At 60.1% G+C, this 26985-nt stretch overlaps 1 protein-coding gene across 10 annotated transcripts in view; it reads right to left on the reverse strand.

Annotated features, from left to right (window-relative positions):
* The window catches only part of EXD3 (exonuclease 3'-5' domain containing 3), a 116267-nt gene that overhangs the window by 65027 nt on the left and 24255 nt on the right, over nucleotides 1-26985 (reverse strand). For 7 of the 10 annotated variants that reach the window (NM_017820.5, XM_047423544.1, XM_047423543.1 and 4 more), the window contains exons 2-5: nucleotides 23381-23482; nucleotides 11391-11455; nucleotides 1504-1677; nucleotides 983-1150 (exon numbers count right to left, since the gene is read on the reverse strand). In NM_017820.5, coding sequence (NP_060290.3) covers nucleotides 983-1150; nucleotides 1504-1677; nucleotides 11391-11455; nucleotides 23381-23435 — 462 coding nt within the window. In that variant the 5' untranslated portion in view covers nucleotides 23436-23482. Of the gene's footprint in view, nucleotides 1-982; nucleotides 1151-1503; nucleotides 1678-2090; nucleotides 2249-2689; nucleotides 3128-5151; nucleotides 5360-9270; nucleotides 9325-11390; nucleotides 11456-19879; nucleotides 21314-23380; nucleotides 23483-26985 lie in introns of those variants that run through there. The other 3 variants (NR_104598.2, XM_047423542.1, NR_104599.2) reach the window with 3 other exon arrangements.

Consider the following 26985-nt stretch of genomic DNA (forward strand, 5'->3'; position numbering starts at 1 on the left):
TACCCACTGCAGGCCCCACTGCTCCCTACTGTTCCACACAAACCCAAGTCACAGCTTGGCCAGGCTCAGGACGACGGGGCTGTGATGCTAGACCTGGTCTTCCTCTTGGAACCTTCTGGGCTTAAAAATCAGCCTTGTTCACAAAGGAGACTCAGCAAACCACTGTGATTCCAACAGCTCCACCAATTCTCATCCAGACACCTTTAGCTGCCAAGCCCACACTTCTGCGACACCACTTAAGACCTGGCCCGGGACCGAAAGGGACCGAAGCCACCTCTCCCGCCAGCAGCCAGTGAAGGGTTGGATACTGATCCGACGCATCTCGCACCTGGGCGACTGTGCCGAGGTGCGACTGGTGCCCTGGCCCTGAACCTTGTCCTGTGTCCCAGGCGCCGGCACTGCCCACTCTGGGCTTCTGTGAGTGGGCACCACTCTGGGGGTGCTGTGGGAGGCGGGGCCGGCACCAGCTGCTCCCACAGCTCTTCTGCTCGGCCCCTCTGGGAGCGTTTCCTTCCAGGGCGCTCACTGCCGTGCCGGGGACTCAGTCAGTGCCCAGTGCCCAGGAGGCAAACTCACCCACAAAGGACAGCCTACTGGCTGATTCTGTGAAGGTTCCGGAGGCGCAGAGGCTAACAGACATGGTGGGGCGTGGCTGGACCAAAGCTCAGGCCCAGGCCCACCTAGGACCCTGTGAGTGTGAGGGCCCAGTGCATGCTGGGAGACACAGGGTCGGCAGGGGGAGACCCAGGCCTGGGACCAGGCTGTGCCCTGACATCTCTGTTGGCTCAGGCAGCCTGAGGGCTCCTGGGACCCGGCACCCCGCACACAGCTGATGGCTGCCCACGGCCGGGTCCTTGATACCTCCATGTAGACCAGAAGCCCCAAACAGCCCCCACACAGAGGCGGCCCTGAGCCAGGCGCGTCCTTGCCCCACCGCCCGAGAAGCCGTTTCCCCATGAGCCCGGCCACGTGGGCCACTCACTTCTCTGAACCTGCCCTCGTGGTGGAGGCGGTGGACGTGTGCCAGCAGGCAGCTCCTGTCTGCATCCTGCAGCTGGAAGATGCTGGCCAGTGGTGCCGCAAGGCTGGGGGGGCTCTCAGTGAGGACTTTGACCGCTCGGGCCTGCAGCTGCTTCAGCCTCAGGCTGTGCTGGAAGAGCAGGGACCCAGACTTACTGGACGCAGCACCCAGTGGCTGGGCCATGGGGCCGATTGAGGCAGGCCTGGCTTAGGAAGCAGCGCCTGCCACTGTGGCCATGTGTGGGCATCGGGTGGTCTGCAGGGCTGGGGCACGGGAGGGGCGAGGCCGGTCTCAGCACGTGACTGTCAGGGGGCAGAGGGTGAAGCCACGGGCTGAGTCTTGGCCATAGCCCCCAGCATCCCCCTCCCCTTCCCTGGCTTGCTGAGCGGGCTGCAAAGGCCTGGGCAGGTGGATGCCGGGTCCACTATGCTGAGGGGCAGGGGCAGGAAGGGAGGTGACTGTCACAGAACCCATGGGCTCACCTGGGCCAGGCTCGGGCATGGCTGTGCCTGTAGCCAGCACTGCAGCTGGTGGGAGATCCAGGCCGCCAGGGAGGGGCCCTCTCCCCGCTGGCCCCGGCAGCTCTCCAGCATGTCCAGAAGCCCGGCCAGGGGGTCGTCCAAGGCAGCAAACCCCCGCCAGGCTTCCTCCCGGAGCTGTGGAGACACAAAACCACACTGGCACTTTGTCTTGCACTCAAAGCCTCCTGGCAAGGCCTCCCCACCGCAGAGAGGTTTTTTAAAATTTAATCCATTCAGAAGGTAGCTGTGGCCATTCAGCCGCCATCTGCGCCTCCGTGACTTTTCATGCCGCCGTTCTGGTCCGCTGCACCCCAGGCCCCCAGGGGCGGTGGTCATTGTCTGCACTAATTATCCCATAAAGACAGAGGGCCTGTTCTCCAGGCAGACAGAGGGCCGCTGGCCTGGGAGGCAACCGTAGCCCGAGCCACAGGTTCACAAGTCACTTTACCTGCGGCACTCGCGGGACACGGGCCTGGCCTGCCCTCAGCAGGCGAAAGAAACTGAAAGGCAAGAACCGAAACCCAAACTGAAAAATGCCTTTTATGTACTTTTCTATCCCTGACCCGCAGGAGATTTGGGAAACGGATAAGAGGTGGACGAAGAGAAGCAAAGCATCTGTTTTGGGCTCTGGCTTCCGGAAGATTCTACAGCAAGTTGGCCCTCGCTGCTGTGCAGCAGCCTCAGCGGCGCCGTCCTCTGTGGATTCCTGCAAGTGAGTCAACCGCTATAGACTTCAAGCCATAACGACTGCTTGCAGGTCATTCCGCAGGTAGAATCTTAACAGCTAAAGGGGTGGACGGGTTCACAGCTCAGCGCTCGGGACAGGGCGCAGCAGCCGACACCCGACCTGAAGCCGACGGCCACGCAGGTGGGCAAGAGGGTGAGTTCCCAGCTGCTGGCTCCAGCCACGGGATGCGCCCCCAGAGGCCCAGGGAGGCTGCAAGCCGAGAGCGTGGGCCGCGCTGTTCTCGTCCCTGCGATGTGGATGGTGTGCTCTCCACGGGGCTCCAGGAGCAACATCCTGAGGCTGCCGCGCAGCTTTGAAAGCACTTGCTCCGGCGATTTGAAAGCTTACCGAAACAAAAGGCTCCCAGCACCTGACAAATCTCCCCACAAACACCCAGGAACAGCCGTGGAGCACACGCACATGAGTGTGTGAGGAGACCTCAGCGCTGTCCAGGAGGGTGCCATGCCCAAAGGCGCGGGAGGCAAGGCTGCAAAGTCCAGACCCTCCAAAGGATGCCCCTCGGGGAAAGTGGCCAGACAGGGTGAAAGGCAGCTTCTCTGTCCCTCGGGACTCTGGGAAGAAAAGGAAAGCCGCCCTTAAACAAAGCCTGAGCATCTCAAGCATCTGGAACTTGAAGCAACTTGAAGGAGCTCCAGGAACTTAGTCCTAGCCCTAGTGAGTTCTAACTCTAGTGAGTCCTGGCCCTAGTGAGATCTAGCTCTAGTGAGTTCTAACTCTAGTGAGTTCTAGCCCTAATGAGTTATAGCTCTAGTGAGTTCCAGCTCTAGTAAGTTGTAGCTCTTGTGAGTTCTAACCCTAGTTTTGTTTTTTTTTTGAGACGGAGTCTCGCTCTGTCGCCCAGGCTGGAGTGCAGTGGCGCGATCTCGACTCACTGCAAGCTCCGCCTCCCGGGTTCACGCCATTCTCCTGCCTCAGCCTCCCGTGTAGCTGGGACTATAGGCGCGCGCCACCATGCCTGGCTAATTTTTGTATTTTTAGTAGAGACGGGGTTTCACCGTGTTAGCCAGGATGGTCTCGATCTCCTGACCTCGTGATCCGCCCGTCTCGGCCTCCCAAAGTGCTGGGATTACAGGCGTGAGCCACCGCGCCCGGCCCTAACCCTAGTTTTAACCCTAGTGAGTTCTAGCTCTAGTGAGTTCCAGCTCTAGTGAGTTCTAGCTCTAGTGAGTTCTAGTTCTAGCGAGTTCCAGCCCTAGTGAGTTCCAGCTCTAGTGAGTTACAGTTCTAGTGAGTTCTAGCTCTAGCGAGTTCTAACTCTAGCGAGTTCTAGGTCTAGTGAGTCCTAGCTCTAGTGAGTTCTAGGCCTAGTGACTTCTAGCCCTAGTGAGTTCTAGCTCCTGTGAGTCCTAGCGCTGGCAAGTTCTAGCTCTAGTGAGTTCTAGGCCTAGTGAGTTATATCTAGTGAGTCCTAGCCCTAGTGAGTTCTAGCTCTAGTGAGTTCTAGCTCTAGCGAGTTCTAGCTCTCATGAGTTCTAGCTTTCGTGAGTTCTAGCCCTAGTGAGTTCTAGCCCTAGTGAGTTCTATCTGTAGTTAAGTTGGCAGAAACAAAACATCATTCTTTAATCACTTTGCCGGGACACGTGGGCCCTAGGTCACCAGAGGGAAAAAGTTCCAGTAAATGAGCTCACAATGAAAACTTAGAAAACACACAAGGAAGCAAGCCACCATGAGTGACACCCACAAGTAGGTTGACTAAAGCTCTGAGAATGGGGAGTAACGGGACATCGATTTGGGAATGTGTAAGCAACTACCCCCATTTTACTAAACGATTGTTCACTTATATTTTACTCTCTCTTCTCTTTCCTCCTTTCCCCACTTCTTACTTATTTCTTTAGAAATGCAATGATAGTGGCCAGGCACGGTGGCTCATGCCTGTAATCCCAGCACTTTGGGAGGCTGAGGCGGGCAGATCACGAGGTCAGGAGATAGAGACCAGCCTGGCTAACACAGTGAAACCTCGTCTCTACTAAAAATACAAAAAATTAGCCGGGCATGGTGGCGGGCGACTGTAGTCCCAGCTACTCGGGAGGCAGAGGCAGGAGAATGGCGTGAACCCAGGAGGCGGAGCTTGCAGTGAGCCGAGATTGTGCCACTGCACTCCAGCCTGGGCGACAGAGCAAGACTCTGTCTCAAAAAAAAAAAAAAAAAAAAAAAAAGAAATGCAATGATAGCCTTCCACCTCCTGTTCACCAGACACTCCCTACAGGGCAAGCTCATCTATCCATGTGCTTAGAGGCTCAGAGCAGAACTCGCCTGCAGGAGGCCGCCTCGAGAGACAAGTAGATTTACGGCCCAAAGTGTGCCTGCTGGAGTTTCCGGCCACCTTCACAGCCTCTTTCTGCCCATGGAGATGCCAACTCAACTTCCAGGTAGATAAGGCACAGAGACCCCCCCACCTGCTCGCTTCCTCCCGACCTTTTAAAAATGCCTCTTTTGGCCGGGGATGGTGGTTCACGCCTGTAATCCTAGCACTTTGGGAGGCCAAGGTGGGCGGATCAACTGAGGTCGGGAGTTGGAGACCAGCCTGACCAACATGGAGAAACCCCGTCTCTACTAAAAATACAAAATTAGCTAGGCATGGTGGCACATGCCTGTAATCCCAGCTGCTCGGGAGGCTGAGGCAGGAGAATTGCTTAAACTTGGGAGGCGGAGGTCGCGGTGAGCCGAGATTGCGCCACTGCTCTCCAGGCTGGGCGACAAGAGAGAATCTCCATCTCAAAAAAAAAAAAAAAAAAAGCCTCTTTCTGCTCCAAAAGCTAAGCCATACCCATACCCTTCAGGCATGAGGCCTGCGCTTCTTCCCTCAAGCCAGCTACGGAATAAAAAGTCACTTTCTTTCTACCAGACCTCATTCCTCTGACCTGGACTCTGTGAGCAGCAAGCGACTGACTGAGCGTGCAACGTGGTTACAGCCAAACACAGAGAGTCGGTGGGCAAATGCAGGAACAACGCATCAGCCAGGCGCAGTGGCCACGCCCGGAATCCCAGCACTTTGAGAAGACGAGGCAGGCCGATGGCTTGAGCTCAGGAGTTCAAGACAAGTCTGTGCAACATAGCGGAACTCCGTCTCTACCAAAAATACAAAAAATTAGCCAGCATAGTGGAGCCTGTAGTCCCAGCTACTTGGGAGGCTGAGGCAGGAGAATCCTTTGAACCCGGGAGGCGGAGGTTGTAGTGAGCTGAGATTGTGCCATTGCACTCCAGCCTGGGTGACAGAACAAGACTCTGTCTCTAAAAAAAAAAAAAAAAAGGGAAAGGCAGATTTCAAAAAGGACCTAAGGCTGGGTGTGGTGGCTCATGCCTGTAATCCCAGCACTTTGGGAGGCCAAGGTGGGAGGATCGCTTGAGGTCAGAAGTTTAAGACCAGACGTGCTGATGCGCACCTTTAATCTCAGCTACTCAGGAGGCTGAGGCAGGAGAATCGCTTGAACCTGGGAGGCGGAGGTTGCAGTGAGCTGAGATTGCGCCACTGCACTCCAGCCTGGGTGACGTAGAACCAGGCTCTGTCAAAAAAGAAAGGAAGGGAGGGAGGGAGGAAACCTAAGAGAACTTTGAAAACAAAAAATAGTCGTTGAATTTTTTTTTTTTTTTTTTTTCCTGGGACAGAGTCTTGCTCTGTCGCCCAGGCTGGAGTGCAGTGGTGCGATCTTGGCTCACTGCAATCTCTGCCTCCTCGGTTTAAGTGATTCTCCTGCCTCAGCCTCCCAGGTAGCTGGGATTACAGGTGCAGGCCACCACGCCTGGCCAAGTTTTTATATTTTTAGTAGAGATAGGGTTTCGCTATGTTGGCCAGACTGGTCTCAAACTCCTGACCTCGTGATTCGCCTACCTTGGCCTCCCAAAGTGCTGGGATTACAGGCATGAGCCACTGCACTTGGCTGAAATTTTTAATAAAAGTAGTAGTTTGACAGTTCCTCAAAAAGATAAACATGATTACCACATGACCCAGCAATTCTATTCCAGGCAGTTTCCCAAAGATTTATTTGTTTATTTATTTTTATTTATTTATTATTTGAGATGGAGTCTCACTCTGTCGTCCAGGCTGGAGTGCAGTGGCATGATCTTGGCTCACTGCAACCTCCGCCTCTGGGGTTTAAGTGATTCTCCTGCCTCAGCCTCGCAAATAGCAGGGACTACAGGTGCATGCCACCACGCTCGGCTAATTGTTGTATTTTTTGGTTTAGATGGGGTTTCGCCATTGTTGGCCAGGCTGGTCTTGAAGTCCTGACCTCAGGTGATCCTATCACCTCAGCCTCCTAAAGTGCTGGGATTACAGCCGTGAGCCACCACACCCGTCCTCCCCAAAGATTTAAAAACAGGGGCTCACGCAGATGTTTGTAGATGAATTTTCAGAGAAGTACTTATTTACAACGGCCAGAGGTGGAGATGGCGCAGATGACCCTCAGCTGTCTATGAAGAAACAGCATGTGGCCTGGCCACGTATTACTCAGCCACGGAAAAGGAGGAAGCTGACACAGACATCCACATAGACAAGCCTTGATATCGTGCTAAATGAAGAAGCAAGTCACAAAAGACCCCATGTTATGTGACCGCATGTGTGTGAACTGTCCAGAAGTGGCAAATCCAGAGGCAGAAAGCGGGTGAGCAGTGGCTAGGGCCTGTGTGACAAGGGGAATGGGGCGTCTGTGTGAGGGGTACAGGGTTTGTGGGTGACGGTGACCGTTGCCTGGGGCCGAGGGGAATGGGGCATCTGTGTGAGGGGTACGGGGTTTGTGGGTGACGGTGACCATTGCCTGGGGCCGAGGGGAATGGGGCATCTGTGTGAGGGGTACAAGGTTCGTGGGTGACGGTGACCGTTGCCTGGGGCCGAGGGGAATGGGGCGTCTGTGTGAGGGGTACGGGGTTTGTGGGTGACGGTGACCATTGCCTGTGGCCGAGGGGAATGGGGCATCTGTGTGAGGGGTACAGGGTTTGTGGGTGACGGTGACCGTTGCCTGGGGCCGAGGGGAATGGGGGCGTCTGTGTGAGGGGTACGGGGTTTGTGGGTGACGGTGACCGTTGCCTGGGGCCGAGGGGAATGGGGCGTCTGTGTGAGGGGTACGGGGTTTGTGGGTGACGGTGACCGTTGCCTGGGGCCGAGGGGAATGGGGGCGTCTGTGTGAGGGGTACAGGGTTTGCGGGTGACGGTGACCGTTGCCTGGGGCCGAGGGGAATGGGGGCGTCTGTGTGAGGGGTACGGGGTTTGTGGGTGACGGTGACCGTTGCCTGGGGCTGAGGGGAATGGGGCGTCTGTGTGAGGGGTACGGGGTTTGCGGGTGACGGTGACCGTTGCCTGGGGCCGAGGGGAATGGGGCGTCTGTGTGAGGGGTACGGGGTTTGCTTCTGAAGCGATGAACCATTCTGAAACCAGAAGAGGTGCACAGGTTGTGAAGATGTAGAAAGATTCACGAAGCACGACTGGGCGCTCCAGGCCATTGAGTCACTCATTGTGAAACGGCTGGTTTTATATGTCGTGCATCTTACCCCAATAAAGCATTCGATGAAGCCGACGCTCCGTGGCTCTGATTTGGGGTGCGCTCTCGCCCAGGCTGGTTTCTGTCACCCCCGGAGTTCTGCAGCACCCGTTCTAACCACAGCCCGCCTTCCCTCACTCCTGCTTCAGTCCCGTAAACCTTCTGCAAAATCCTGGCCCTCCAGACCCCAGCTGGGTCCTCCCCTCCAGGCCCCCAGTGGCAGCTGTGCCCCTTGTGTGCCCACGTCGGCCAGCGCAAGCCACACATGGACCCAGTGCCCACTGCACCCCTGCCAGCCTCAGGGTCCCAGCCCGTTGTTCCGGGAGACTTCAGTCCTGGCCCAGGCATCTCCTTCCAGCTCCTGTCCTTATCTTGGTGGCCTCAATGAACGTGCCAAGACCCTTGGGACCCATGGCTCTGAGACTGGGCTCCCCTTGCGCTGCCTGCCTCCCTCCCGGGGTCCCTGTGAAGGAAGCCGTCCCACCCACCCTGCCGGTCCCTCCTCCCTTCGAGCCCTTCACTGGTCTTCACTCCTCATTCCTGGTCCCCTCAGCTACAAAGAGCCTCCTGCTGTGCACGGAGAAAACAATGTGAGCTCCCCCACCCCAATGCCCCTCTGGGCGTCCCCCCCAATCCCCCTGCCAGTATCCCCCCCCACCCCAACCCCCGTCCGGGCATCCCCCTCAATCCTCCCGCCGGTATCCCCCCTCCTCCCCAACCCCCCTCCAGGCGTCCCCCCCAATCCCTCCGCCAGTATCCCCCGCACCCCAACCCCCCTCCGGGCATCCCCCCCAATCCCCCCACCGGTATCTCCCCCACCCCAACCCCCCTCTGGGCGTCCCCCCCGATAACGCCCACCAGTATCCCCCCTCTGGGCATCCCCCCCAATCCCTCCACTGGTTCCCCCCCACCCCAATGCCCCTCTGGGCATCCCCCCAATCCTCCCCACCCGTATCCCCCCTCCTCCCCAACCCCCCTCTGGGCATCCCCCCCAATCCCCCCGCCGGTATCCCCCTTCCTCCCTGCTGGCTGGCATCCCCTGCACTGAGCTGTTGGCTCCACTCACGGCTTCAGTAGTGGGGCTGGGGGGGTCCCATGGGCTCAGCAGCACCAGAAGGCCCCCCCGAGGGGCTGTTAGGATAGGACCACCCTGTTACAACAGGACCATCTTGGGAAGCCGAGGCAGGTGGATTGCTTGAGGTCAGGAGTTCAAGACCAGCCTGGCCAACATGGTGAAACCCTGTCTCTACTAAAAATACAAAAATAGCCAGGCGTGGTGTTGCACACCTATTAATCCCAGTTACTCATGAGGCTGAGGCAAGAGAATCACTTGAATCTGGGAGGCGGAGGTTACAGTGAGTCGAGATCATGCCACTGCACTCCAGCCTGGGTGACAGAGCAAGACTCTGTCTCACACACACACACACACACACACACGAAAAGCCTGGGTGCGGTGGCTCACACCTGTAATCCCAGCACTTTGGGAGGCCGAGGCGGGCGGATTACCTGAGGTCAGGAGTTCGAGAACAGCCTGGCCAACATGGTGAAACTCCGTCTCTACTAAAAATACAAAAAAAAAATTAGTCGGGCGTGGTGGCGCGCGCCTGTAATCCCAGCTACTCCGGAGGCTGAGGCAGGAGAATCCCTTGAACCCGGGAGGCGGAGCTTGCAGTGAGCCGAGATTGCACCACTGCACTCCAGCCTGGGTGACAGAACAAGACTCCTTCTCAAAAAAAAAAAAAAAAAAAAAAAAGACAGGAACACCCCACCACAGGCTGCTGGGCAGTGGGGCTGGGAAGGGCCCAATGAACCAGGGGAGCCCCACTCTGGGAGTGCGCCTACTCCAGGCCCTCACCCCGCCCCAGCCCTGCCTCCTCCTCCTGCCCGTCTCCCAGGCTGCTCTCACCCGCCCGGTGTGCTGGCTCCTCTCTCACGTTAGAGGAACACCTAAGCCCTCCCAGACGGCCAACAGTCCCATTGCCCCCTTTATACTGCAGACCGCCCCAAGGAGTTCTCCAAAATCCTGGTCTTCATCTCCCTCCTCTGGGGGCACCCGGCGTCTGTGCCACCATATGGGGGTCCCCAAGACCTCCATGTGCAGCCGGCTCTAGGGTTGGGCTTCTCCTCAGCACCCAGGACCCCCAAGGACCCCATCTTCAAGGCTCCTGGCCCACCCAGGGCCACTGGGCATGTGGCATTCGCCAGCTTGCTGGAATCCGGGAATGTGATGGAGGCGCGAGGAGGAGGTGAGAGCACGAGGAGGAGGTGAGGGCGCAGGGAGGAGGTGGGAGCACGCAGAGGAGGTGAGGACGCGGGGAGGAGGTGAGGACGCGGGGAGGAGGTGAGGGCGCGGGGAGGAGGTGAGGGCGCGCGGAGGAGGTGAGGGCGCGCGGTGGAGGTCAGGGCGGCGGTGGAGGTCAGGGCGGCGGTGGAGGTGAGGGCGCGGGGAGGAGGTGAGGGCGCGGGGAGGAGGTGGGAGCATGCGGAGGAGGTGAGGGCGCGCGGAGGAGGTGAGGGCACAGACACAGGCCCACCCCATGAAGATGAAATGCCTGACGGCCTCATGGCTGTCAGCGGAGCCCGGAGCAGATCTCAGCCCTGTCTGTGTATAAACAAGCGCTGCTCCAAGGAGACGCCAGGACGAATGTCAGGACATAGGGAGGAAAGGACAGTGGAATCCCACAACTCAGACACGTGGGGGGCGGGGGGCAGAGGGCGGGACCCGGGGAGGCTCACACCACACACGCAGGTGCCAAAGAGCGAGGAAGACTGAGCGTCACAGACGAAGGTCCGACAAGAGAGCCTGGAAATGGAACGGCAGAGGGAAATCTCAAAAGCAAGGACAGAGATTCACAAGCTGGAGGCCCAAGAAGCCACCGAGCTGATGGACAAACGAAAGCTGGCAGAGGTGGGTGCAGGAGAGAGGCAGACACAGGAGCAGGCAGCGCCAGGGCTGGGGTCAGAGGGCATCCCCCGGGCCTGCAGGGGTGACCTCAGGCCAGTGGATGTGGCACTCAGAGGAGCTGGGCTGGGGTTGGAGGGCGTCCCCCGGACCTGCAGGAGCGACCTCGGGCCAGAGGACGCGGCACTCAGGACTTGGCAGCTTCCTGTGCACAGGCCATTGCCACTAAGGAGCCGGAATCCGCGTCTGCCCCCACAGGGGGCCGGCCCTCCCTCTGTAGCCTCTCCCCTGGCCTCTCCCGCCCAGCCTCCTGCCCTGCTCAAGTCCCACCCCTTCCTAAGGCCTCCCTGTCCTGGACACCTGCCCCAGTGGCCACCCGGGCCTGGGTGCTCTGGCGGTGGCAGGACGGGGCCTCAGGCCTGGCAGTGCTGGCGACAGCTGTGTCCCTGCAGGTGAGTGGCCCCTGCGCCTCCCAGAGGTGACCTCAGAGGGGCTGCTGGGGCCAGGCAGTGCCTTTACCACCCTGGGGACTTGAGGAGGACCGCCCCCTGCCCCACACAGGCCACCCTGGAGGCGGTCTGGGGCAGCAGCTGTGCAGGACCCTGTGGCCGTGGGGGGCTGTGCAGCTTCCTGACCAGGGAGGCCTCCTGTTAGGCCAGTCTCTGCCCAACAGTCAGTTCTGCTGGCTGTGACTTGGCACGTGGTGGCTGCCACGTCCACTCACCTGCTTCCGCTCCCGCGTGGACCACAGGGTCTGCAGGGCCTGCAGGAGCAGGAGGGGGTCCCGGCCTGTGGAGATAAGATAACAGCCGTGGGAGGGAGAGGCAGGTGCAGGGGCTATCGCACAGCCCGCCGGGAAGTCCCTCCCACTGACCCGCAATGCCTGGGGCTCCTCTGGACCCGGGGGGCCGGGAACCCTCCCCCACCTCTGTCTGGCACACACACAACACACCTGCCAGCTGCGGCAGCACCCACCCTGTTCCTTCCCTGTGGCCCGTGGCCGCCCATCCAGCTGAGTCCGCCCAGCAGCACTTCAACCACGCTCAGCCCTGGGAGCTGGGCCTCATCTTTCAGCTGCAGGTGCAGAGCAGCCCTCGTGGGCCTGAGCCTCTACCTGCTCCGCCTGGCGCCCTCGGCAACCTCATCAGCATCTTCTCACCCAAACCCTGCACCGCAGTCCTGGCACCACGAGGACCCCAAGCCCCTGCCCTCTTTAGGTTTCGGTCCCCGGCCCTCCCGCGCCGCCCCCTCCCTCCAGCCCCGCCTGGGAGGCCCCCGACCTCACTGCAGCAAAAGTGCCAACCAAAGACGCTGCCCCACACGGACAGGGCCACCAGAGCGAGACCCGAGGGAGGTTTCCAGACAGAACCCAGGGGCTGCGTGGCTTGGCTTGGAGGCCGGTGGTGCAGGGGAGTGGAGACCCACTCAGGCCTGGTCATGTGGTAGGGTCAGGGTCGGAGGCCAGGGAGGGGCAGGTGCCAGCAGGGACTCCACAGGGGAGGCCTGAGGACAGGAGCCTGGGTGGATTCCGCAGTGAACTCCCCCTGGACCTGGGGGGCTGTGGAAGCTGCTGGGCCCCCCTGCAGGGCAGGACGGGAACAGGGAAGGCCCCGTGTTGCTGCGAGGGAGGCTGAGGACTCACATGAGATCAGATCAGACCTCAGCAGCTGGATTCTGCCACACACGCCAGAGAAGCGTGTGTGACGGGGGTCACCCCAGAGAGCCAGGCTGACTTAACAGGAGAGTCCAAGGTTATGATTCAGCCCAGGACCGGAACGGAGGAGAGAACCACGTGGCCCTTTCGGTAGACACAGAGCAAGTGTTCTAAAATTCAGTTCAGCTCACAATTTAAGAAATAACTCACCTGGGACGGGCAGGGAGCGCCCTGAACTGGGTAAAAGCCATGGGCGAGCGTGAGACGTGGTGCTCAGGGCAGCACGTAAGGATGCCACAGCCCGGCCTGGAGCCGTCCCAAGCAGGTGGCATCCAATGCAGAAGGAAAACAGAAACATCAGGACCGGCCGACAATGTGATTGATTACACAGAAAGCCACGAAGGATCAAAACTACGCCGTTAGAATTAACCAATGGGTTCGGCATCAATGCTCAGCACAAGCCAAAATGAGAAAATCAGCAATAAACAGAAATGGCCATTTCAAAAATCACTTACAACAGCATCAGCAATGTCAGATTCCCTGGGAGAAATGTAACAAAAGCAGCTCATGCAAAACAAAACCCAGCCGGCTGTCATCTCAGCACTTTGGGAGGCCGAGGCAGGTGGATCATTTGAGGTCAGGAGTTCGAGACCAGCCTGGCCAACGTGGTGAGACACTATCTCTACTAAAACTACAAAAGCTAGCTGGGCATGGTGGCGGGTGCCTGTAGTCCCAGCTACTCGGGAGGCTGAGGCAGGAGAACAGCATGAACCCGGGAGGCGGAGGTCGCAGTGAGCCGAGATCGGGCCACTGCACTCCAGCCTGGGCAACAGAGCGAGACTCCGTCTCAGACAAAAACCAAAAAACCATAAAACACCGTGGGGCGCCCAGGCTCCACCATGGCGTCTCTGCAGCCACCTGGGCCTGGGTGGCACAGGCCAGTGTTCCCGTCTGCGCTCAGAACCGTCCCACCATCGTGCACAGTGTGCTGCATACAGAGGCTGAGAACACTCAAATGTCCACTGTAGGAGGACGGAGCAAGTGCATCAGCCCCGGGACGATGCCCAGGTGGGGAGGACGTACCCCACCACGTGGCCATGGCAGGCAGTGTGACTGGCCCCGCATTCTGGGTGCTGCATGCTGGGCATGGCTGGCGATGGGGCCAGGGTGGGCTGGGCGGGGCGTGCTGTGGTGTGTTCACGATCATGTGCCGAGCCGCATCATGTGCTCTGCGTTCCTTCCTACACATGGGTTGCACTTCACAATAAACAAAAGAGACTTTTATTTTGTTATTTAAGTTAATATTTTATTTAGAGACGGAGTCTCACTGTCACCCAGGCTGGAGTGCAGTGCTGTGATCTCGGCTCACTGCAACCTCCACCTCTCAGGTTCGTGATTCTCGTGCCTCAGCCTCCGGAGTAGCTGGGAGTACAGGCGCTCACCGCTACGCCTGGCTAATTTTTGTATTTTTAGTAGAGACGGGTTTTCACCATGTTGGCCAGGCTGGTCTTGAACTCCTGAGCTCAATTGGTCCGTCCACCTCGGCCTCCCAAAGTGCTGGGATGACAGGCGTGAGCCACCGCGCCCAGCCCAGATTTTCTTTTAAAGCAGAGTTTCAGATGCGTGAGATGAGAAGGTTCTGCAGGTGGACGGTGGTGGCAGCTGTGCAGCCACATGAGTGCCCTTAATGCCACTGAGTGTACACAGGAAAGTGGTTAAAATGGTAAATTTCATGTTATGTATATTTCACATATTTTTAAAAGCAGGGTGAAGCTGGGCAAGGTGGCTTACACTTGTAATCCCAGCACTTTGGGAGGCTGAGGTGGGTGGGTCGCTTGAGCCCTGGAGTTTGAGACCAGCCTGGGCAAGACAGCAAGACCCCATCTCTACCAAAATAAATAAAATTAGCTGGGCATGGTGGCGCTCCTGAGGTCCCAGCCACTTGGGAGGCTGGGGTGGGAGCATGGCTGGAGCCTGGGAGGTTGAGGCTGCAGTGAGCCCTGATTGTGCCACTGCCCTCCAGCCTGGGGGACAGAGTGAGAACCTGTCAATCAATCCATCCATCAATAAGCAGGGTGTCCTTATTATTCTTTTTAAGTTCTCCAAATCGAGATCCACCTTTCCAGGTGGGAAGTTGGTGATGCCGGCCCTCCTACTCCCCAGTCAGTGTTGCTGGTCTTTGCCCTGCTCAGGTCCTGCTGGTTCTGCCCTCCAGGTGGGCAGGGTCTGCCCCCTCCCACCGACCTGGGCCACTCCAGATTCCCAGGGGACTCCCTGCCTTGACGCTGTGCCCTCAGACAACACCCAGCCGCGCAACACGGCACAGCCCTAGCATCCTACAGAAATATGGGGCAGGCCAGGCCACTTTATGGACTCCACCGTGGCCCCTCAGCCTTGAGAGTCAAAGCCAGGGCCCACCACATCCTCCCAGCCTCCAACCTCCGTGTACCTGGACCCTGCCCCTTGGGCCTGAGGCTGCTTCTCGAGCACCCAGCAGCCTGCCCGGAAGCCCCCTCAGCACCCCTGCTCCCTGCCTGCCTCCCTCAGCACCCCTGCTCCCTGCCTGGCCCCCTCAGCACACCTGCTCCCTGCCTGCCTCCCTCAGCACCCCTGCTCCCTGCCTGGCCCCCTCAGCACCCCTGCTCCCTGCCTGGCCCCCTCAGCACCCCTGCTCCCTGCCTGCCTCCCTCAGCACCCCTGCTCCCTGCCTGCCTCCCTCAGCACCCCTGCTCCCTGCCTGCCTCCCTCAGCACCCCCGCTCCCTGCCTGGCCCCCTCAGCACCCCTGCTCCCTGCCTGCCTCCCTCAGCACCCCTGCTCCGTGCTTGGCCCCCGGCCCTTGCTTCCTGCCTGGCCCCCGGCCCCTACTCCTTGTCTGCCTCCCTCAGCGCCTCTGTTCCCTGCCTGGCCCTCGGCCCCCGCTCCCTGCCTGGCCCCCGGCCCCTGCCCTTCTGCCCCTGTCGCTTCACTGTGGCCTCAACGCTGAGCCCCAGGGCAGTGACCGCCTGGGTCTCCTTCCAGGCCATGGCCGGTGCACGATGGACACTCCACGGTGCCCGCCCCAGCCATTCCAGGGCCAGCCGTGCACACATGGTGCTCACAGCCCACGCAACTGGGGAGCCCTGGGGAGCCCTGAGTCTCTCGGGCCAGAGCTGGAGGGACCCATGGCAGGTGTGGCGGGACAAGTGTCTGCCGTGCCGGGCTCAGACACGGCCATGCTGACACTCATCCCACACAATTGCTGGCTTCCTGTTCATACAACAGAAGAAAAACAGGATGTCCAGGGGCGGCTTCTGTCTGAACGAAGAAGACAAGCGAGCTCTGTGAGCCCCAGGGCTCAGCAGTGAGAGGACAGGGTGCCTGGGAGAGCCCTGGGGGACACACCCCACTCAGCACACAGCACCCCACGCACCCCAACTCAGGGATACCACGCAGGGGCACGGGGTCCGAGAAGGGCGGGTGGGGCTTGGAGCTGACACCGAGGGACCTCCCAGACCCGCTCTCCGGCCCCAGAAGCCCCAGCCAGCCCTCCCTGAGGTCGCCTCCTCGTGCAGTAGCTTCTGGGGGCCTTTGGTCCCCAGCGTGGATGTTTGGCCGGAGCTCCGTGGGTGGCCTCTGGCCCCCACCTCCACACCCAGGCCCAAGTTCCCTGAATTCGCCAAGTTCATCAGTGCTGCACCGATGCCTGGGACCTGCAGACAGGCAGGTCTAGGACGCTGAGACAGATGGCCCTGGCCAGGAGGCTGGGCCCTGACCCTGGACCCTGCCCCTTGGAACCATGTGGGTGGGGGCAGAGCGGGGCAGCTGTGTATTAGGAGGACACCTAGAAAAAACTCAAGCTCAAGAATAAAAGTCCCACAGTCCCCCGAATGTGGATTCACATCCAAGAGCTGGGCTGCTTCTCTCTGGGGGGCTGAATCATGGTCCCTGCCCAGCACCAGAGCCTGGTGCCCACACTGGCTTCCCCCCCAGCCACCCTCCCCAAAACGTGCCTGGGAGGGCTCAGGAACTCTGTGGGGTTGGCCTGAGGGTGTCCAGGCAGAGGCGGCCAGGACGGCTCCACCATCTGTCCCCAGGACGGCTCCCCAGCTGACACCCCCGCGCCGGCCGACGGGAGGACGGATGGTTGCAGGGACGCAGGATGGGCAGAACACAGGGACGCCACTTCCTCCAAACGACACCCGGCTAATGGGGCTGCCTTCACCTTGAGACACAGACGCACGCGGGAAACTGTGGGCTGTGGAGTGGGTGGCGCCGAAGGCTCTGTTATTCCCGACACTCTACCATAAAGCGGGGATGAGAAACACAGGGGGCTTTTTATCCACAGGGTTGGGGGCACAGAAGCCCCAGGAACTGAGGCCGACCCCAGCAGCGGGCGCCAGGCAGAGGACACCAGGCAGCGGATGCTGGCAGGGGACACCCGGCCTCCAGGCAGGAAGTCTGTGACGTGGTCTTCACAAAGCCCCCGAGTGGGTCTCCCCGGCAGCTGGCTCTCCTCTTGGGGCCTGGGTCACAAAGCTCACAGCCCGTCTCCAAGGCCGTCCCACACCTGCCAGCAGCATCAGACCCCGCGGCAGTGAGTGTAGAAGAGCCCGGCCGCCCAGACCAGACCCCACGCGCTGTGGTGACCTGCATGTCCACGGGTCCAGGCACCTGCTATCAGCACAGCACCCCGCCTGGGTCAGTCCTCTGACCGCCCACGGACAGCAGAAAGGGCCAGCCCACGGCCTCAGCTCCCCTCAGAGACCCCATGGCACCTCCCGCAGGCGTGTCCTGAGAGGCCACGCCCACCCACCACGCACTGGGGCCTCCGTCCCTCTGCCACGAGTCTGTCTCCTGGTGGCCTTCTGGCGTCCGGGGGCAGCTGAGATGGGGCCACCCCCTCCAGCCCAACCGTCTCTGGTCTCAGATTCCACCCACATCTGCCTGTGCTCAGCTGCAGGCAGGGCGGGGGACGTGATAAGGACAGAGGCGGCAACGAGACCCCAAGCCCGGCGGACAGCGTGTGCCCTCCACCTCGGCTCGCCGCAGAGGACCGCCCGTGTCTGGGGAGTGAGGTGAAGGGGCTCCCGGAGGTCCAGCATCTGGCACGGAGCCCCTTGCTCTATCAACACAGCGGCCCACAACCCCAGCACAGCACCGTCTCTCATCGGTCATGGGTCCCCTCACCCTCAGTCCTACTCACTTGCCTCATCCATGAAGCCGAGGGCCTTGGAGACAGAACCTGACCCAGCCTAAGCCCAAGCTGCCTCTGCTGGGAAAGCGGGATGAGGGGGAGAGCCCACCGTTCGATGCTGTGGACCCCACAAGGAGGCAGAGAGGGAAAGGGCGGTACCAGCTCAGGGGGCATGAGGCGGACGCCACTCAGAGACAGTGAGTACGTCGAGGTGCTGGGACGCTCGGAGCGAGAGGGACAGAGAGGGACAGTGAGACCAGCAAGGAGCTGGGACGCTGGGAGCCAGGTGGATGCATGCAGAGAGGGACAGAGAGATCCCCAAATTTCATTCTGCAACCGCAGGTCAGAAAATCTGCTGAAGAAAAGATCCTACCTACAACAGAAATATTGGAAGATGAAATGCCTATTTTTAAAAAGTAACAGACCCGGCACAGTGGCTCATGCCTGTAATCCCAGCACTTTGGGAGGCCGAGGCGGGCAGATCACCTGAGGTCAGGAGTTCGAGACCAGCCTGGCCAACATGGCGAAACCCCGTCTCTACTAAAAATACAAAAATTACCCAAGCATGGTGGTGGGTGCCTGTAATCCCAGCTACTCAGGAAGCTGAGGCAGGAGAATCACTTGAACCTGGGAGGTGGAGGTTGCAGTGAGCCAAGGTTGCGACATTGCACTCCGGCCTGGGTGACAGAGCGAGACTCTGTCAAAAAAAAAAAAAAAAAAAAAAAAAAAATGGCCGGGCGCGGTGGCTCACACCTGTAATCCCAGCACTTTGGGAGGCTGAGGTGGGCGGATCATGAGGTCAGGAGATCGAGACCATCCTGGCTAACATGGTGAAACCCCATCTCTACTAAAAAAATACAAAAAATTAGCCGGGAGTGGCGGCGGGCACCTGTAGTCCCAGCTACTCGGGAGGCTGAGGCAGGAGAATGGCGTGAACCCGGGAGGCGGAGGTTGTGGTGAGCCGAGATTGTGCCACTGCACTCCAGCCTGGGCGACAGAGCAAGATTCTGTTGCCAAAAAAAAAAAAAAGTAAATAAATAAAAATTACACAAATAAATAAAAACTAAAAAGATAACAGTATGTTCTGGGTGGTTTCACATAAACTAACTCCTTCAATATTCACACAGAAATGAGGCCCGGTATTGGCGTTAGAATCATCATTCAGATGAGAAAACAGGTTAGGCAGCGTGGCCCGGTCACACAGTGAGGAAGATGAGCCCTCTCTGCTGGCAGGTGTGGAAGGGCGTTTTCACGGTTTTATGAGGCCAGCTGTGACTTCCCTCCGGTCTCCCTCATGTCACCCTCATGTCACAGCCCGAGGTTTGGCTCCGCAGCCTTGGAGGCAGAGAAAGCACCACCCCCACTGCCAGCTGGGCCTGGGCAGGCGCCGGGCCAGGCCAGCTCAGCCTCCTTCAGTGGAGCCGAGGAGAGAAAGGCCCGGGAGCCTCCTGGCCAGGTCAAGGCCAGTGGACGCTGAGGGCAGGGGGTGAGGACACAGTGAGGGTGGCTCAGAGGCTGCCACAAAGTGCCTGTGACCTCGTCGTGGGACAGGGACAAGCCCGTCCCCAGGGTCCTGGAGGCAGATCTGGTGTCCACACCTCTGGGGGACCCATGGTGGGGCGGGGGTGGCCTGCTCGGCATGGAGAGGGGCAGGGCAGCCTCGGCAGCTTCTCCTTACCCCCCTCCCAGCAGGGCCTCGGCCGCCGCCCTTCCTCAGGTGTCCCCACGTCCACCCACAGCCACAGCCCACCAGTGAGGCCTGAGAGGGAGGCGTCTCCAGGAACCCGCACGTTCACGGTGCATTACGAGAGCGGCATGCGCTCATCACGGAGCTTCGTAGGAAAAGTGGCCTCTCCTGCGGGCCCTGCCCTGTTCACCGCCGTGTCCACACTGGGCGGGTGCCGAGGAACCCGTCTGGAGCGTGGACGCTGGATGTGAGGCTGGCCACGTCCCCAGCCCCAGGCACCTCAGCAGGCCCAAGCTGTAGGGCATGGGTCTCCTCCGGGAAGCCAGGGCAGCCTCAGCCTTGGAGGCTCCCATTGTCCGGAGCCCAGCAAGATGGGGAGGAGCGGCGGATGTGGAGGGAAAGGGAACCCAGGCCGGCAGGCTTCCTGGAGCTGCTGCATCTGCCAGAGGGCCGGCCTCCCCGCCCCACCCCACCGCCCGCCGGCCCTGGTGATTCCTGGAGCTGCTGCCTCTGCCAGAGGGCCGGCCTCCCTGCCCCGCCCCGCCCCGCCTCGCCGACCGCCGGCCCTGGTGCCCAGCTGCAGTTTAATGCCGTCTGTGGGACTCTGAATTTCCCAAGGAAGGCTCAAGCGCCGCCTGGAAACCCCGAACCAGGTGGACGTGGGCAACGTGGACTTTCTGACCTCAACTGCGCCTGCTCATGCAAAAGCTGAAGTTTTTTATTTTTTTTGAGATGGAGTCTCGCTCTGTTCCCCAGGCTGGAGTGCAATGACACAACCTCGGATAACTGTAACCTCCGCCTCCAGGGTTCAAGCAGTTCTACTGCCTCCAAGCCATTCTCCTGCCTCAGCCTCCCCAGTAGCTGGGAATACAGGCGCCCGCCACCATGTCCAGCTAATTTTTGTATTTTTAGTAGAGACGGGGTTTCACCATGTTGGCCAGGATGGTCTCGATCTTCTGACCTCGTGATCCTCCTGCCTCGGCCTCCCACAGTACTGGGATTACAGGCGTGAGCCACCATAATCCTGGCCGTGAGCCTGGCCAAGGCTGAAGTTTTAGGAGGAAAGGAATCTGTGAGCGCAGTGGACATTCGGATGGGAATGTTTCTTGGCCTCGGGGGAGGGAGAGAGGAACAGGAGCTCAGCCCCCTTCTCCTGTCCCGATGATGCCTCCTGACCCAGCGCGGGAGGGCCTCTCTAGAACACGCCAGAGGTGGCCATGTGGACTCTCCTCCAATGACCTGGACCAGGCACTCTACCTAAAAGGACAAACCCAGGCCTGGCTGTCGGGGGCAGGGTCCCAGGGGCCACAGACGCGGATGTCCTGCTCAGTGACCAGGGTGGCACGGACAGGTGTCCAGGCAGCGAGGCGGGGCCAGCACAGGGGCCAGGACACCTCCTGGGAAGAAGCTGACCCAGAGCCTGAGTAGGGGAGCCCACTGGGGAGGGCTGAGCTGGGGCCTCTTGTGGAGCTGGCCTTGTTGACAGAGCTGGACACGAACCATGTAAGGGCAGATGCCTAAAGCAGCACAGAAAGGATGGGGGGATGTGGCCATTCCAGGAAGCGCCAGGCTGTTCCAGGGGGTGCTGTGTCTGTTCTGGGGGGGCTGTGTCTGTTCCAGGAGCACCAGGCTGTTCCAGGGGGCACCGAGGCTGTTCCAGGGGGCACCGAGGCTGTTCCAGGGGGCATCGAGGCTGTTCTGTGGGGGGGCGCCGTGTCTGTTCCAGGGAGGGCCATTAGTGTTCCAGGGGGCACCGAGGCTGTTCCAGGGAGGACCATTAGTGTTCCAGCGGGCACCATGTCTGTTCTGGCGGGGGGCCGTATCTGTTCCAGGGAGGGCCATTAGTGTTCCAGGGGGTGCTGAGGCTGTTCCAGGGGGCACCGAGGCTGTTCTCGGTGGGGGTGCCGTGTCTGTTCCAGGGAGGGCCATTAGTGTTCCAGGGGGTGCTGAGGCTGTTCCAGGGGGCACCGAGGCTGTTCTCGGTGGGGGTGCCGTGTCTGTTCCAGGGAGGGCCATTAGTGTTCCAGGGGGCGCCGAGGCTGTTCCAGGGGCCCTGCTAGCTGGGGTGTTGCACTTTGAAAACATCCCACTCTGCTTAGGTGGAGAAGAGGCTGTAGAAGCCTGTGGGTGCCTGTGCAGGGAGAGTCAGCTCTGTGCTGAGGCGAACCCAGGGTCCCATGCGCTCCCCGGCCCTGACGGCGGTCTCCAGGGGAGGTAACAGGGCCTCATCCCACACAGGTGCAGGCCCGGGGCCCGCAGATGGCCTCAGAGGAGGCGGTGGATGAACGGAAGGGTGAGGGGGTCTGGGCCCATCCCCAGAGGGGCAGGTGTGTGGTCAGGGCCCCACAGGACAGCCAGGGTTGTGCCTGCTGAGGGGGCCACATCCACACCAAGCCCCGCCCAGCTCAGAGGTGGCCCCTCCCCGAGCACACGCTGACCTGGCTACATCAGGGAAGGCGACATGCCCGGAGGTGCCCCCACAGCCCTCAGCACCCACTGGGACACAGAAGAGGAAGGCAGAGAGGAAGCCCCTGGAGGGGTCCAAGGCCCGAGGAGGCAACTGCGTGGGATAGGGAAACTGAGGCAGAGAGCCTCAGCTGCTGCCATGTGGGAGCAGGGCTTTCACAGAGGGGAGGGCCATGGCCCTGCCCCATGGAGGGGCTGCCAGGCAGGGCATGTGTAGGGTGGAACTGGGCAAAGGCCAGGGGGCGGTGAGTGAAAAGGCAGTAAACCCACAACAAACTGAGGGCCTGCAGCCCAGGGCGAGGCGGCTGGGCCAGGGCCTTACAGCTCTCACTGCTGTTTACAAGGACTGCAGGGTGAAGGATGTGAAGGGGCCCCGGCACCCCCTTCTCACCCTCTGCCCACAAAGCCATGGCCCCGGACAGCTCCCACTGGGGCCGAGCCCCTGCCAGGAGGCTTCCCGCCCCAGCCCGTCCCCGGCACAGAGAGCAGCTGAGGCTCGGGCTGACCCCTCTGGCACTAGGCAGCTCCACTCCTTCCCAGCCGCCGCTTCCCTAACCCCAGCCTCCCAGCCTCCATTTCCCTAACCCTGGCCTCCCAGCCTCTGCTTCCCTAACCCCAGCCTCCCAGCCTCCGCTTCCCTAACCCCGGCCTCCCAGCCTCCGCTTCCCTAACCCCGGCCTCCCAGCCTCCGCTTCCCTAACCCCGGCCTCCCAGCCTCCGCTTCCCTAACCCCGGCCTCCCAGCCTCCGCTTCCCTAACCCCGGCCTCCCAGCCTCCGCTTCCCTAACCCCGGCCTCCCAGCCTCCGCTTCCCTAACCCCGGCCTCCCAGCCTCCGCTTCCCTAACCCCGGCCTCCCAGCCTCCGCTTCCCTAAGCCCGGCCTCCCAGCCTCCGCTTCCCTAACCCCGGCCTCCCAGCCTCCGCTTCCCTAACCCCGGCCTCCCAGCCTCCGCTTCCCTAACCCCGGCCTCCCAGCCTCCGCTTCCCTAATCCCGGCCTTCCAGCCTCCGCTTCCCTAACCCTGGCCCAGTCTTCAGCTTGCAGGGTCTCGATCTGTAGGAACAGGAGGGAGAGAGGCTGCACCTCCCCTCGGGCTGTTTATCCTCAGCACTGAATCTGGCAGGGCAGCCGAGCGAGCGGGGATGCGGCCTCCCCGGCTTTGCCCACAGGGAAGGTGCCTCTCATTTCTCTTTTTTAACCTGAAAAAGCTGCTGGGAGGGCAGATGTTCTTCTTAACTCGAAGGGATGAAAAATGCCTCAGTTTAAAAAACTAGGGACCCTGGAGGCCACCCTGGAACCGCCCGAGACCCAAGAGGCTGTGGGTTCCCTGAGCCCCCAGTGGCGGCGCTAAGCCCCCAAGGGTGTTCCGGGCCCTCCGCCTGGCTCCCCGAGGGACAGAGGGGACCAGAGCTCCCACCTCTGCGGCCAGCCCTGAGCAGCTGCACTGTCCCCGCCACCTCCCCCGGATCCTGTCACAGGCCCGGCGCCAGGCCACCCACGCTGGGGCCCAAGGAGGCGGCCTGTCCTGACCCCCGAGGACAACAAGGCCACAGTGGGGCCTCCGGACTCACAAGGTCCCAAGCCGTGGACACTGTAGAGAGGCCCGCAGCTAGGGGCCAGCAGCCTGGCCCTCGTCACTGAGTACACAGTGGGCGCCACCACCCCCCATGCACACCCACGCACCTCCCCCCACAGCCCCAGGGAGACTCGGCACCATCAGGCTCAGACTCACCCATGCGGTGGCGCTCGCCAGCGGCAGGGTCACCAGCGGGATCTCCTGGGTCCATCCTCAGGGCCGGGCCGAGGACGCTGGCAGGCAGCTAGGAACGAGGATCTGCAGAAACAGACAATCAGGTGAATGCAGAGCCCACTGCAACAGGCAGCCATGCAGAGCCCACGCCCACAGCCCCTGGAGGTGGTGGAGGGAGCTGGTGCCTGGGGGGGCCCAAGTGGGACCCCCAGTCGCTGAGCATAGCGGGCAGCTCCACACTCCTCTCCCAGCTGGGGTGACGGCTGCCAAGTTTGGACCCTGCATTCCAGTTCCCTGCCAAACCGTCCCAGCTTTCAGCAGGGAGGGCAGGGGGTGGGAGGGGCCCTGGGGGGGGGCACAGTAGACAGACCCTCGCGGGAGTGCAGAGGGGCCTGTTCTTGAGGACAGCGTGACCCCCCTTGCCATGTCCCCCTCAGGCTGTGTGTCCTGCCCTGAGGGAGCCACATGGGAGAGAGGTGCTCTCCTCCAGAGGGCAAGGGCGCCTGCAGGACCAGGGACCTCGGAGTGACGCCCTCACGGCTGACCCAGTACGCAGCTCCGTAAGACTCCAGGCGGCCGCTGACAGCTCTCATCCCAGGCAGACCTCAGTCTCCCTCAGAGTGTTTTTTTTTCTTTTCTTTCTTTCTTTCTTTTTTTTTTTTTTGGAGACAGAGTCTCTCTGCAATGCCCAGGCTGGAGTGCAGTGGGGCCATCTCAGCTCACTGCAACCTCCGCCTTCCGGGTTCAAGCGATTCTCCTGCCTCAGCCTCCCGAGTAGCTGGGATGACAGGCATGCGCCATCACGCCTGGCTAATTTTTGTATTTTTAGTGGAGATGGGGTTTCCCCATGTTGGTCAGGCTGGTATCGAACTCCTGACCTCAGGTGATCCACCCGCCTCAGCCTCCCAAAGTGCTGGGACTACAGGCGTGAGCCACCGCGCCTGGCCCCTGGGAGTGTTTTTGATGCAAAACCCTTATCTACACTTACGAGGGTCACCCTTCTCCTTCAGTCTGCTTACGCAAGGCTGCATAAAAAGGCTTTCTCTGAGTGCATAGCTTTAGTTTGAATCACACACAGCAGTTACACAAAGCTCAGCATGTGAACTCCGAATCCTAACACAGGCGTGCAGGAGAGAGCTGTGCCGCCCTCCCCCAGGCAGCCCTCACGGTGGCCATTCCCGGGGAGACGGACCTGTGTGTGTTTCTCAGCCACACGCGGCACAGTCACTTAGAGGCCTTCAGTTTTACACATTACTGACAGCTCCGCCCAGGCAGGGTAAGAATCTGTCTCACCTGTCGGCCAACACGCACCCCTAAACACACAACAACACAACCTCCTGAAAAAAGTTACGTGGACATCGTCTGTGGACTCAGGACGGACAGAGGCCGTTCCCAGCCGCGTCACATGGAGGTTAGGATGCCTTTTCCTTTCTCACGCAGGCTGCTCCAGACTCCTGCTCCACCGTCGGGGAGGGACTGTGGCTCTCCCACTGCAAACGACGTAAAACTGGATGATATATCTTAGGAAACCAGTTTCTGGGCAACAGGCAGTGTGAGGCCACGTTTCCCGACAGCAGTCAGTGCCCAAGGCAGCCCCAGGACAGCTGCTCCCCACGCTGGAGCCTGGGCTGGGCACAGTGTCCCACCATGCCGAGGGGGCCACTGGGGGACACACACCTGCAGGAGGGGCTGCTGGGGCAGTGAGTGTGTGGGCAGGAGGACCCCCGAGCCTCCCAGGACCCGCGGCCCCAGGGCTGAGAATACAGTGGAGACACCAGAGGCCACACAGCGCCTGACACACTGCAGTCCAGGCCAGCCAAGAGGAAGGACCCCATCAACACACAACCAGGACCAGACGGCCACAGCCGAAGACCATGCTGAGAGGAAGGCCTGCTCCAGAGCCTCTCGCCAGATCCAGACCAAGCCCACGAAAGCCGGAGGACAGATCCAGACCAAGCCCGTGAAAGCTGGAGAAGGTTGAGTCCCACCCAGCTTAGGAGGCTTGAGAAAGGCCCTAGGCTCTCCGAAGAGCCCCTGACAAAACATCAAGACACAACCCCAAGTTCAAGGGACTCAGCCAGAAGCTGAACAGCCCACCGGAGCGAAAAACAATGCTCTTCAGAGGATGATACCTAAATCCAGAGTTTCCACAATGGATAATTCACGAAACTCAGCACGTAATAAAAATCACAAGACCTAAAAAGAAACAAGGAAATATGACCCATAAACAAGTGGAAAAACACAAAAAACAGAGAACAGAAAGCAACTTCGAGGAAGGCCTCAAAGTTATTGGTGTTAGCAAAGACTTTAACACAACGATTTCAACTGCGTTCACAGAATGAACAGAAAACATGTTCAAACAGTTCAAGGAGGCCGAGTGCAGTGTGGGAGGCTGAGGCGGGAGGATCACTTGAGCCCAGGAGTTTGAGACCATCCTAGGCAACATGGTCAAACTGTACAAAAAAATTAAAAAGTAGCCGGGTGTGGTGGCTCACGCCTTTGGTTCCAGCTACTCAGCAAGCGGAGGCAGAAGAGTCGCTGGAAGCCCAGAGATCAAGGCTGCAGTGAGCCGAGATCGCACCACTGCCTTCCAACCTGCATGACAGAGCGAGACCCTGTCTCAAGAAAACCCCAAAAAACCATGAATAAAGTTAAAAAATATGGTTTTAATGAGTAAAAGGAGAGAAATGAAGATTATATGAAACTACATAAAAGAGCTAAATGGAAACTCGGCAATAAAAAGTGTCATCACTGAAATGTGTTTGACTCAGTGGCTGTGCTTCACAGCAGGTGGATGGCAGATGAGTCAGTGAATCTGAAAACAGATCAAAGAAGGACCAGATTGAAAGAACGAGGGGGAAAGACAGAAGGAACTGTGGCTCCACGGTCCACAGCCGGGCGCCCTCTGTTCCCCTGGTGAACGGCCCCGTCTGCAGCACTGCACGCCTGGCTCTGGGGTTCACACGCTTTGTGGAGACACCCATTCCCCAGCCTCTGCCTGCCTCCGTCTGGATGGCTGCACTGCAGCCCTGCTCACCCTGGACCCCCTTCCCTCTTGTCCCCTGTGCTCCCCGAAGTTCACCTCCTAGTTCTAAGGGAGCACCTTTTCCAGGAGCACCTCAGGCAGAACCGCAAGGGAGGAGCACTGAGTAGCCCTTTGCTTGTCTGAGAACGTCCCCATGACACATGTGCACCCATGTCCCCAAGACACACAGGCAACCGCGTCCCCAAGACACACAGGCAACCGCGTCCCCAAGACACACAGGCAACCGCGTCCCCAAGACACACTGGCACCCGCGTCCCCAAGACACACAGGCACCCGCGTCCCCAAGACACACAGGCGACCGCGTCCCCAAGACACACAGGCACCCACGTCCCCGTGACACACGTGCACCCGCATCCCCAAGACACACAGGCACCCGCGTCCCCGAGACACACAGGCACCCGCGTCCCCGTGACACACAGGCACCCGCGTCCCCGTGACACACAGGCACCCGCGTCCCCGTGACACACGTGCACCCGCATCCCCAAGACACACAGGCACCCGCGTCCCCGTGACACACATGCACCCGCGTCCCCAAGACACA

The sequence above is a fragment of the Homo sapiens genome, chromosome 9, assembly GCF_000001405.40.
Source record: "Homo sapiens chromosome 9, GRCh38.p14 Primary Assembly".
Lineage (NCBI taxonomy): Eukaryota > Metazoa > Chordata > Mammalia > Primates > Hominidae > Homo > Homo sapiens.